This window comes from Homo sapiens, chromosome 7, assembly GCF_000001405.40.
Source record: "Homo sapiens chromosome 7, GRCh38.p14 Primary Assembly".
NCBI classification, from domain to species: domain Eukaryota; kingdom Metazoa; phylum Chordata; class Mammalia; order Primates; family Hominidae; genus Homo; species Homo sapiens.
The window spans coordinates 147,802,262-147,815,600 of NC_000007.14; the positions used below are offsets into that span (position 1 = coordinate 147,802,262).

General features: G+C 38.9%; 1 protein-coding gene across 1 annotated transcript in view, besides 1 other annotated feature; it reads left to right on the forward strand.

Annotated features, from left to right (window-relative positions):
- The window catches only part of CNTNAP2 (contactin associated protein 2), a 2,304,198-nt gene that overhangs the window by 1,685,461 nt on the left and 605,398 nt on the right, over positions 1–13,339 (forward strand). The window lies entirely within an intron of this gene.
- Positions 1,249–1,820: an enhancer, noted in NCBI's record as "NANOG hESC enhancer chr7:147500602-147501173 (GRCh37/hg19 assembly coordinates)". NCBI's record gives its function as "activates a minimal SCP1, AML or CMV promoter by ChIP-STARR-seq in primed H9 embryonic stem cells {active_cell/tissue: H9 hESC(primed)}" and the evidence as "EXISTENCE:reporter gene assay evidence [ECO:0000049][PMID:30033119]".

The following is a 13,339-nucleotide window of genomic DNA, read 5'->3' on the forward strand; positions in this document are numbered from 1 at the left end:
GCCGGGCAGAGACGCTCCTCACTTTCCAGACTGGGCAGCCAGGCAGAGGGGCTCCTCACATCCCAGACGATGGGCGGCCAGGCAGAGACACTCCTCACCTCCCAGACGGGGTGGCGGCCGGGCAGAGGCTGCAATCTCGGCACTTTGGGAGGCCAAGGCAGGCGGCTGGGAGGTGGAAGTTGTAGCGAGCCGAGATCAGGCCACTGCACTCCAGCCTGGGCACCATTGAGCACTGAGTGAACCAGACTCCGTCTGCAATCCTGGCACCTCGGGAGGCCGAGGCTGGCGGATCACTCGCGGTTACGAGCTGGAGACCAGCCCGGCCAACACAGCGAAACCCCGTCTCCACCAAAAAAGTACGAAAACCAGTCAGGCGTGGCGGCGCGCACCTGCAATCGCAGGCACTCGGCAGGCTGAGGCAGGAGAATCAGGCAGGGAGGTTGCAGTGAGCCGAGATGGCAGCAGTACAGTCCAGCTTCCGCTCGGCATCAGAGGGAGACTGTGGAAAGGGGAGAGGGAGAGGGAGGGGGAGGGGGAGAGGGAGAGGGAGAGGGAGAGGGAGAGGGAGAGCTCTATGAAGTTTTATCAACCTGCACTTTTAAGGTAACGTGTAGGTTAATTTTCACTTCTCAAAACCCTCACTTCAGATAGAAAAAATAACTTCGGAAACAGCAATAATAATAGTAATAATTATAATAAATAGTCTAAATAATTGAAATGAAACCTAATAAACAGACAAAGGAAATGATACAAATGGAATAATAATGAACAAGAGAAAAATTTACGATTGTGAAAATTAGATTGTAAAATGGCTTTAGAGGAAAAGTACTGTAATTCACATTCCTACAGTTATTTGAGAGAAAGGGACCAAACCAGTTTAAAAATGTTTTTACTGAGAATTTAAAAACACCCTTTAGAAATAGAAATTCAGTTTCTGACTTTATTTAGCAAAAATTAACCAGCAAAAACCTTATGCCCCCCAAAATGTGACCTCTTTCTCTGTGGATAGTCCAGTGTTTTTCAGCCTAGAGCCTAATTCTGCTCTTGGGGGACAGGGTCCATGAAGCGCAACCCTGTGTTTTGTATTCATAGAAATGCAGCCAGCAAACTTGGGTATTGGATGAACTGGGCATTGTGGGTCACTCTGCCCGTGGACCTGCTGGTGGCACCGCAGGGAAAAGGTTAGAAACTGCATGTTCTCTGCCAGGCAGAGGCTCTACTCATGTTCTTCTAGGGAGTCTTGCCTTGTCATTTCTACCAGTCATAGACTGGGAGATTTGCTGACCTTAGAGATAGTAATATATTTCAAACCTCAAGAGGCAAGAATGATATGAAACAAAGGATATCCCTGGATTTCCTCTGGGGCTGCGAAAGGGAGTCTCCACCTGGCTCTGGAAGGCTATGTCTTGTTTCCATCCACTCCATTTAACTCCCACTTCTTGGCCTGCTTTGAGACTGTCAGCTGGGGGCCAATTACTGCCATTTAGAGAAGTGGATGCTTTAATGTGAATACTTGTCTGCAGGAACCACACAGAGACAGCTGCCTTATCTCACAAGAACCCTGTGTTGTTTATACTCAGTAATCTGCCACAGAGCTCTCTCCACAATGGGGAAACGAATCCAATTTATTCTCCCTATTGCCTGCACTTAATTTCTTTGACTCGTTTACATGTCTGTCTTTTTAAGTTGAAGAAAGAATACGAATGTAAGTTCCTCTGTGGCTAAGAGCATCTTTGACTGTGTTCTTAACAGTCTAAGACAATGGAGCAATAGTACTATTGCCTGAGGCAACCCTTCTGAGTTTTTCAATTTATTACCAAATTTTTAGATGAATTATGATCTAGTCTAGTTCCAGATGGTGCATCTAGATCTTTATAAATACCAGAAGCACTTACTTGAAAAGCTGCCAGATCTATAAAGGGATCTACTACTATGACTTGGAGTTTTTTCATACATTATTGTCTGTTTTCATAAATTGATAATTAATAGGTTCTCTAAAAGCCAAGCTGTTCATGGTTTAAAAACAGCTGTTAGCCATGAAAACTGTGGTGACATCTACTTACCAAGGTATTTCCAGAGAGACATGTAGAATCACACTGGAAATTCTGTACCACTCCCTGGTGCTCTTCTGGGCAGGGAGAGTTTACTCCACAATGCCACAAAATCTTATCAGATTACTCTCCTTTTGAAACCTTCCAAAGACTTCACACTCCATCTAAGATAAAACTCAGAGGCCCTGAGCATGACCTTCAAGGTGCTCACCCACTCTCTTGCTTCAGTTTTTGTTTTTTTGTTTGTTTGTTTTATTTTTAGACAGGGTCTCACTTTGTCACCCAGACTGGAGTACAGTGGTGCGATCTCGGCTCACTGCAACCTCTGCCTCCCAGGCTCAAGTGATTCTCCTGCCTCAGCCTCCCGAATAGCTGGGGTTATAGGCATGCACCATGACACCTGGCTAATTTTTGTATTTTTAGTAGAGATGGCGTTTCACCATGTTGGCCAGGCTGGTCTCAAACTCCTGACCTCAAATGATCCACCCAGCTTATCTTCCCACAGTGCTGGGATTACAGGCATGAGCCACCCAGCCCAGCCCTGCTTCAGTTTTTAACCTCACCACCTCCCACACCAAGCTATGTCCACAGTTGCCTTTTTCTCTGTTCTTAGAACCCTACATTGATGAGCATCAGGGCACTTGTCTCACCTCATAATCCAGTTATCCTCTGAGGCAGAATAGAAATCCAGACCTGGAATCTCCTCTTGTTTCTGCTTTCCAACAGCTTCCTCTCAATCAAAATGACAAATGATTCAATATCATTTTTTTTTTTTTGAGACGGAGCCTGAGTTTTGTTGCCCAGGCTAGAGTGCAATGGTGTGATCTTGGCTCACTGCAACCTCCACCACCCAGGTTCAAGCGATTCTCCTGCCTCAGCCTTCTGAGTAGCTGGGATTACCAGCCTGGCCTCGAACTCCTCACCTCAGGTCATCTGCCCTCCCAAAGTGCTGGGATTATAGGTGTGAGCCACAATGCCAAGCCCAGTATCATTCTTGATTAATTAGTTGCAACTTAAAGGAGTGAATTTTCTAAATATAAGATTATATCATCTAAAAACAAGGATAATTTGATTTCTCCCCTTCCAATTTGGATGAGCTTTATTTCTTTATCTTGTCTGACTGCTCTGACTAGGACTTTAAGTACCATGTTGAATAAAAGTGGAGAAAGTGGGCATCCTTGTCTTGTTCCAGATCTTAGAGGAAAGGCATTCAGTTTTTCCCTGCTCAGTATGACATTACCTATGGGTTTGTCAGATACAGCCTTTATTGTGTTGAGCTATGTTCTTTTGTACCCTATTGGTTGAGAGTTTTTTATCATGAAGGAATGCTGGGTTTTATCAAATGCTTTTTCTAGCCTCTATTAAAATGATGATATGGTTTTTGTCCTTCATTCTATTGATGTGATGTATCACTTTTACTGATTTGCATTTGTTGAGCCATCCTTGCATCCCTGGGATGAATCCACTTGATCGGGATGACTGATCTTTTTAATGTGTTGTTGCATTTGATTTGCTAGTATTTTCTTGAGAATCAAATCAAAATGGATTGAGGGCTTCAATGTAAGACCTGAAACTATGAAACTAGTAAAAGAAAACATTGGGGGAAATGCTTCAGGACATTGGTCTGGACAAAGGTTTCTTGAGTAAGACCTTAAAAGCACAAGAAACCAAAGCAAAAATGGAGAAGTAGGATTACATCAAGCTAAAAATCTCCACACAGCAAGGGAGACAATCAACAAAGTGAAGTGACAACTTACAGAATGGGAGAAAATATTTGCAAACTATTCAGCTGAGAAGGATTAGTAACCAGAACATATAAAGAACACAACTCAATAGCAAAAAGCAACTAATAATTGTATTTAAAAGTAGGGAAAATAGCTGAGTAGACATTTTTCACATACATATGCCCAACAGGTATGTGAAAAAATGCTCAACATCACTAATAATCAGAGCAAGACAAATAAAAAACCATAATAAGTATCATCTCACCCAAGTTAAAATGGCTTTTATCAAAAAGATAAAATAATAACAGATGGTAGTGAGGATGCAGAGAAAGGGGAACACTTGCCCACTGGTGGTGGGAATGTGAATTAGTATAGTCATTATGGAAAACAGCATAAAGGTTTCTCAGAAAACTAAAAATAGAGCTATTAATACTATATGATCCAGTAATCCCACTGCTGAATATATATAAAAAAGAATGAAAATCAGTATTTCAAAAAGGTATCTGCACTCCCAGGTTTATTGCAGCACTATTTGCAGTAGCCAAGATGTGGAAGCAGCCTTAGTGTCTACCTACATATGAATGGATAAAGAAAATGTGGTACATATACAAAATGGAATATTATTCAACCATAAAAAGAATGAAATTCTGTCATTTACAACAATATGGTTGGAACTGGAGGTCATTATATTAAGTGAAATAAGCCAGGCACCAAAAGGCAAATATTGCATATTCTCACTCATGAGTGGGAGCTAAAACAATTGATCTCATGGAGGTAGAGAGTAGAATGATGGTTACCAGACTTTAGGAAGGGTAGTGGGGAAGGAGGAATAAAGAGGTGATGGTTAATGAGTACAAAACTACAGTTAGGTAGAAGGAATGAGATGTAGTGTTTGGTAGCACAATAGGGTGACTATAGTTAACAATAATTTATTGTATATTTCAAAATAACTTGAAGAGTGGGATTGAAATGTTCCTAACACAAATTATATATGGCTGGGCATTGTGGCTCAAGCCTGTAATCCTAGCACTTTGGGAGGCTCAGGTGGGAGAATCGCTTGAACCCAGGAGTTTGAGACCATAGTGGGCACCATAATGAGACCCCTATCTCTACAAAAGAATAAAAAGTTTTAAAAAATTAGCTTGGCATGAGGGTGTATGCCTGTGGTCCCAGCTACTTGAGAGGCTGAGCTGGGAGGATCACCTGAACCCAGGAGATTGAGGCTTCAGTGAGCCATGGTTACTTCACTGTACTCGAGCCTGGATGACAGAGCAGGTCCTTGACTCAAAAAAAAAAAAAAAAAAAAAAACGAAAACAAAAAAAAGAAGAGGAGGAAATGATATATGTTTAAGAACATGGAGATCCCCATTAACCTGATTTTTATCATTACACCTTGCATGCTGTATCAAAATATTGCATGTGTCCCATATATATGTTCAAATATTATGTACCCATAGAAATTAAAAATAAAAAAAATTAAAGCTAAATTTTAAGTTTTCACTGTGTTCTCAGAGCACGTAGTCATTCTATCCATCTATCCACCCATCCATCAATCGAGTGCCTAGTACGTAACCTTAAAGTGATTATATTTCTTAGTAAGCACCTGCTGTATACTAAAGGTAAAAGTTATTGGTCTCTGTGCATATGTGGTTGAGTTTAGCAGATAAGGCAGACCAACAAACAAATCACTATATGATGGGGGAATAGATCAGGTTTTCTAGAAACATGAGTGAGAGCTTCTAATATGCCCTAGTTGGTGATGTGAGCGTCAGGACAGTTTTTCTAAGAGTTGTTTTGAGTTAAGCATTAAATCATGAATAAAAGATAGTTTGGGTTGCCAGATATTTATCAGGCTTTCATTGATGCCCCCTTAACATTTGCCAGTCATATGGGAAGTACTCAAAAAATGTTTGAGATTCATTCTTTAGTGATATGTTCACTTTCTTTTTTAAAAAAAAAAAATAAAAAGTAGTTTGAGACTTCTGTGATTCTCTGTAAATAAATTTTGACTTGACATGTCTGGGACCTTGGCACTGACTCTCCTGGGATACCTCAATTCCCCTCCTTTCCCCTTTCCTCTCTCTATATATACTATATATATGAAGTCCCATTGTCCTGGCCTCTCCATATGGCCTCTTTCTGTAGGATACTGGATGATATTCTGTACCTCTTTGCAATTTGTTAGCTGAGAGCCAGGAAAGTGAAAGCAGGAACTGCTGGGACCCATAACATCGAGGCCCGGAAAGGGCAGCGTCACTTCTATAGCATTATAATGATCAAAGAAAGTCACAGGCCAGCCAAGATTCTGGGGAGGAGAAATCAATTCCATCTCTCATGTATGTAGTGGAAAAGGGATTGCTGGTGGCTATCTTTGGCAACTATCTACTGCATTCCCTCCTCCTCAAATTACCTTATTCTTTCTATCCTCCCAAAGACTACCATATGTATATTTGCACTCATTCTCTAGATTTGACATAAATTGGTTGACACTAATGACACTTCCCTGTGTCTAACCCTTGTCCCCATCATCCAATTCTTTCTGCCCTTACCTGGCATCTGTAATTAATTTCTTTGCCTCCAATGTTACTTCTCTGTTTGGTAGTGCAATTGAAGACCACATAAAAATGCTGCTAGAATGCATCTCCTTTGTTAGCAGATTTAGTATTCTAATGTGAAATTCCTTCTCATCCTTTAAAACCCAGTTAAATCTGACTTCTATAAAGTCCTTATTGACTATCCCAAAGAAGAGGGGATTTCTCTTTCTAAAATTTGTAGTAATGTGTTTCTGGAATGTATTCTAGTTTTGACTATGGTTAGGAATACACATGCTTTACCTTTCTAATAATTTTGAAAACTCAAAGGCAGGCAGTAGGATATACTCATTTTTTAAATTTTCTAAAGCACCAAGATGAGCCCATTACATAGAATAAGTTGAGTTTTTGTTGAGTTGTCAGGGATCTGGGAAGAATGGTTTGGCTTTTAGGAGAGGTTCTCAGCCAACCAGGAAGGAAAAAAAAAATGATTCAGTGATTAGTGACAACAGCTTTACTTCTAGAATCCTCCCACCTACTACTGGCAGCACGAGCAGGCAGCTTGCCTTCCTGGGACGAACCTAGATGAGGTACAATGTGGCTGGAAAGCTCTCTAATACTGATCTGACATGGCATATTTCAGATTAATCTGTTTTCTCTCCTTGTTTCCAGTTTCAGCACATACTAATGCCATCTTGAATCTTACTTTTCCTCCCTGGCCCTCAGCTTCCCCATCTGTAAATAACAAAGGCTACTATTTACTAAGAACCTGCATCAGTGCCAGACACAGTGCTGGGCACTAGTGCTAATCCTCACAATAATAGTGAAAGGTGCATTTTTTTTATTTCCTCCTTTTAAATGAATATCAGATATGGAAAGGAAAACAACTTGCCCAAGCCCTCTCAGCACAACTGGATTGAAACTCATCCCCCATGAGTAGCATCAGGGTCAGGCCAGATAAGCTGTAAATTCCCTTAGCCTTTACTATGCATCTCCACCAGGATGTAAAATACAATCTGCTGTTTGTCTTCCACCTTCTCCTAGACCAGCTTTTCTGCGTCATTATTTTTCTTTTTTGTCTTCAGCTGCAGTTTCTCTTATCAGTTATTGGCTCCACAACTAGCAAGTTTATTTTTTGCTCCATATTGTATTCTGGTGTGTTATGCTACAATTTGTATAGGGAATGAGACACAATATGGTTTGCTAATGAGAAAATCTACACTGCAGAGACAGAACCTATTTGTTCTCAGTTACTTGAAACGTATGTTAGAATGTAGAATCTCTTCTTCATTCCCGTGTGAGGTGCTGAGGAAGGCTGGAGGGGTTCTGATTCAGTCACATTTGATTTTGGAGTCAAGGTCTTGGCTTCAACTCATATTGAGTTTTACTGGAAACTGCCAGCTTTGTTTTGGGTAGACATTTGTAAATGTGACAGAACAGATGACTCATCTCAAGCCAGCTCTATGCTTTTATTCAATGTGTGCTTAAAAAGAGTAAACGTGGATGTTGGAAAGTATTTTCTTGTAAGTACTTTGTATGGCAGATGCCAAGTACTGCTAAACCTAATTATTTAATTCTTCTTCTTAAATAGATATTATTTAGTTTTAATTTTTAAAAACCTTCAACTATATAATTGATATATATCATATATATAGATATAGATATATATCAATAATATAATTTTACTTTTTAGCACACCAGAAGCATATTATTTTGGAAGATCATAGGACTCAGAGCTCTGGATAGGCAAAGTAGACTTGGATTTACATTCTCTGTGATCTTAAGAAATCTACTTTCTCCCTTATTTTCACTTTTCTGTACTAAAAAAAACAGCTGTACTAACATGAATAATATGTACCTCACAGGGTTCATGTTGAGGACAAAATTATTAATAGATAATATGTCAAAGAGCTTGCCATATAATCAGTAGGTTCTTTCCTGCCATGGAAAAATTTTTTTAGTCAGAATAGGTCTCAGCCAACCTCTTTCATGTTCCAGAATTTAATGCATACTTGCTGATTCAATACAGGTAGAAAGTTTAATATTAATTTTTATTTTGTTGGCTTTCTAAAAAAGCAGTCTTTTCACATTAGAATAAGTGAATGAAAGAGATCACTAAAATCAAAAGTTGTTACAAATGTTATTTTGATTGCTATGATTTCAAATGCAGTTTTATCTTCTTATAAAGTTAAAATACCCAATTTCGTTTTTAATTTATTTGGAAACAACAACACGACTGGTTGAATACTCTGTCTAAAGTAATCTCTAACAAAGAATGACTGAAGTTCTACTCTACCAATGAAAAGCAAGAACCGGGGTTCCTCCTTTCTCTTTCTGTGGTATGGGAGCTACATGAAGGCAGAATAAAAGAGTCAGACTAGGCTGGGAATCCTGTTCAAGAGAGGCACTCAGTTACAGTGTACATGTCAGAATTGATTGATAAAGTTACTAGGAAGTAGGCATGTAACCTTAGTTAGTCTTGTTCTCCAGTTTTCAATAAAATGTGGACTATACCTTTGGGGGTTGTGTTCATTTGTTTGTTTTTAAGACAGAGTCTTGCTCTGTCACCCAGGCTGGAGTGAAGTGGCACAATCTCAGCTCACTGCAACCTCCACCTCCTGGGTTCAAGCAATTCTCCTGCCTCAGCCTCCCAAGTAGCTGGGACTATAGGCACGTGCAACCACGCTCAGCTGATTTTTTGTATTTTTAGTGGAGACGCAGAGTTTCACCAAGTTGCCCAGGCTGGTCTCGAACTCCTGAGCTCAGGCAATCCACCCATCTAGGCCTCACAAAGTGCTAGGATTACAGGCATGAGCCACCATGCCCAGCCTACTACAGTATTTTTAAAGAAGAGCAGTTTCACAGTGTCACCAAATCATGGCTTTCAGATCCAGAGTTACAAATTGCCTCCCAACTCAGCAGTTCTTGAAAATATAATATTACCGATGTTTGGCTCATGAAGACTCCCTAGAAGCCCAGTGTCCCCTAGGGAGGAAGTGCCAAATTGAAAATTTTTAAATAATCGTTACTGTATTTTATAGCAAATAAGTATATGATTATCAAATATGCTTAAACCCTTTGGGAAAGAGGAGCTTGAAAACACTGTATCCATCCTTTGACAGATCCATTTAGCCTAATTATTCAATGATCCCCATACATTTTACTCGCATTCTTGACCCAAATAATTCAGATTATATTTGTATGCTTTTTGATATCCTTAATGTAAAAAAAATTCTTGATTCTTTTTCTCATTCATTCAACAAATACTTGTTGAGTGAAGACCATATTCTCCATGAGCAAATAAGTAGAAGAATCTCCATGTGGGTCCTGCATTCTAATGGGGAAAGAGAGGCTGATAAATACTAAACGCAAGAACATTAAGTAGGTACTATGTCAGTAAACAAAGTATAGAGTAGATTAGAAGGAAAAAAATCAAATAATAGCAATGTTAGGGGCGAAGGAGCCTGGAGTTGTGAGGATGGCTTATAATTTTAAATAGAGTTGTGGGAATTGGCCTCAGGAAGGAGGTGACATTTATGAGAGAGTTGGAAGAGGTGCAGGGATTCACCATGTGACTATGTGGGGGAAGAACATTCAGATAGGGAGAGCGGCCAGTCCAGAGGCTCAAGGCAAGTCTGTGTCTGAGATGTTCCAGGAAGAGGAAGGAGGCCGGTGTTCAGGAGTAAACTTTGTAACTTAGTCTTTCTTTTCTCACATTAGACTTTTTCGTTGTTGATGTTTTACTTTAAGGAAATTTATTTTTGCAAAAATATGTACTATTTGGTTTGTTAAAATAACATCTAACTCTTGAAAGATCATTTACCTTGATAGAGGCATTCATCTATTCTGTTAGGAAGAAGCACAGGTCAGCCGGAGATGTTTACAGTACAGAGTTCTTATATAAGTAGGAAAAAAAAAACTGTAATAATTTAAAAAGTAAAAAAAAAAAAAGTCAATACAGGACCTGCCCCTTCCTAGACAATCACAACGTGTCCACTCATTCTACTTTCAGCTGCCCCCTCCCCACCCTATCCGTTCAATATCCTGCCACTCTGGCACCATCCCAGCCACAAGGCCTCAGGTCCTCTCTCTGCTCTCGCTGGTTTTCAGAGAGGCGCTCCTCAGAGAGAGTTTCTAGCACTAAAGGATAAGTGATTGTTATGACAATATACTTCTTTTTAAAAAATGCTTGTTTCATCGGAGAATTTTGGCTGGCTATGGGTAATGGAAGAGATTTCACATAAAAGTTGAGTCCCCTTCTCACAAAGCAAATGAGCACATGATGGATCAAGGTGCTCTGCTGGTGTAGACTAACATATATTAATAATACACACATACCTATTAAGAGATCTGTGTCAAGGAATATACATGTAGTATATATTAAAGACATCAGAATATAAGACAATAAATTAAATTACCTTATAGTCACCTGGCTTCTATGGAGCAAGGAGAATTTAATTAAACCACAGAATCTGAGAGAACATTTGATCCTTGGTTGATGCTAAAAAATTGTTTCACTATTTGAAAATAGTTTCAAATCATTTCACTATTTGAAAAAAAAAAAAAGCAAGTTCAGATGGGAGATGGACTCATAGCTTATACTATGTCGAAATGCATTAGGAAAGATTAGTTTAAGATTTCATGCCAATAAAATAACTTTACCAAAAACTACCTTTATGGAGTACTAGTCTCACCAGGGGAAGTTCAAAACATCACATTTTTTACCAGGAAGTTGATGCATTCCCTTGGCAAGTCAATGGGATGGTTTATGCCTAGAATCTCAGAGAAGAAGAAAGCCTTTTTAGATGAAAAAGATAGTCATATGTCTCCAAACCCTCATGTGTATTTATGTAGTGGAGAGGAAACTAATTGAAGCAGAAGGTAGCTAGATTTTTAAATGTAATCATTAATAGTCTCACAGTTGTGTTGATAGCATCCAACAGGGTTACCTTCTGGGCAGAAACACAGATCACTCCTACTGTTCTTGGAGAAAGAAAAAGGAGGAAATGAACACATGCTCACTGAACCTCCTAGCAAAAAAAGTCTCTCTAGAAATATATGGTCCACTCCCAAGCTCACCCTTTAATTCTCCAATGTTACTTCTGTAAAATAGCAGTCCTGTGATATTACTCACTGAACAGATGAAATTAAAATATTTATATTCTGCACATGCACGCACGGAGGAAAATCTCACTTCAATTATAGCAGTTAAGAAGTCTGAAGTAATTTTCCCAGCTAGCATTTGGCCATTCCATTGAGATTGAAGGAATCTGGTATGATGATGGTTCTTATTAATTCACCCTCTCTTCGTTTTAAAAGAATATTATAGTTCCTTTGTGATGTAAATTGTTTGGGCAATATGATGGTGCACTGCCTTGTGACTAAAAAGTCGACAAGCTCAAAGGACAAAGTATTCAGGAACAATAGCTAACATTTACTGTTCGGCACTTTTTAAATGTTCTCGGTAAGATAATTTTTATTTCTGATTCACTTTTCTTTTTGCCTTTCCAAAAGGGATTTAAGTTAATTACTTTTTCTAATGTGACTTTGATATTTCAGTCCCCTCAGATCTTCCAAGGAATTTACAGGTGAAATACCATTCTAGTTCTTTTATTTTCCTAGAAACTCTGATATTAAATATGGGTGTCACACTGGAAAATTCCACCAGAATAAAAAGCTAAACAAGGCATAAAATTTACATTAGTAACATCCCATTAAACCATCATCTAGAAAGCTTTTGTTACATGATTTTCATCATTTATTAAATTATTTTGGTGTCTTTTCTGGTCTTTTTTGCCTGTAGGACTGAACCTTGTTATGCATTTGTCTCCATCAAAATGGTGTAGCTGCATTTGGCATTATTCCTTCAACATTCTTCTTTATTTTTTCCACAGAAGATGAAATTAGCTTGGTTTAATAATAGTCATTCCTGATTACTCTCTCTGTGGAAAACAGCTTAAGAGGCACATTATTCAATTAAAGAAAGTATTTGCCTCGCCCTTTAAAACCTTCATTTTATATAACCTATTGATTGTGAATCCAATTAGTCTTACATATTAAACTTTTATTACTTTTAGTATAGCACTTTTACATGCCATCGGGAAACTCATCACCATGTAAAATGCATGTAGTTCCTGACTTTCAAACAAGAGGTATTTCAGAAGATCACTGCTAAGTCAGTGTTTCAAATTTGAATATACATGTTCATCCTATAAATGATCTATATTCAGCCTATAAATGATGACATGATTATATATATAGTCGTCCTACAAATAATCATCCTATAAACAATTATTGGGTTCCTGGGGTAACAGCAAAGCAAAATAATTAGAACATTTTTGTTAATAATATACCTAGTAATAATAATGTAGCTGGGAAAATAATGAACAAAATAATATAGCTGAAATAGTAGTCCTACGTTTTAGGGACAAGGTTAGAAAGAAGAGAGCACCAGGGGTTGGAGGGAGAGAGTGGTTCCTCATATACACTGTGATAACTCAGATAGTCTGCAGTCAGGAAACAATTGGTAATCCATTAATTAGAGAGTATGATGCCCTTTTATGAAGTGATAGTGTAGACACAATAGCAATATTAATTAGCTTTCCTATTGCTTCCATAATAAATTAGCACAAGCTTAGTGACTTAACCCAAACTTATTATCTCACACAATTCTATAGGTCATAAGTCTGAGTTGATTCTGCTGGTTTCTCTGTTCTGGGTGTTAGGAAGATGATGTCAAGATGATTAACAGCTGGGCTGTGGAAAGAATCTGCTTCCAGTCTCATTCAGTTTGTTGGCAGAATCCAGTTCCATGTGACCATAGGACTGAAATTCCTATTTCCTTGCTGGCTGTCAACAGGGAACCAGCCTCTAGTTCTTGCATGTGGGCCCCGACATCTCAGAGCCAGCAAACATGGAATCCTTCTCAAGCTTGGAATCTCTTTGACTTTCTCTTCTTCCACATCCTTCTTCTGCTTCAAGCCAGAGAACACTCTCTACTTTTAAGGGTTCATATGATTCAATATGTCCCACC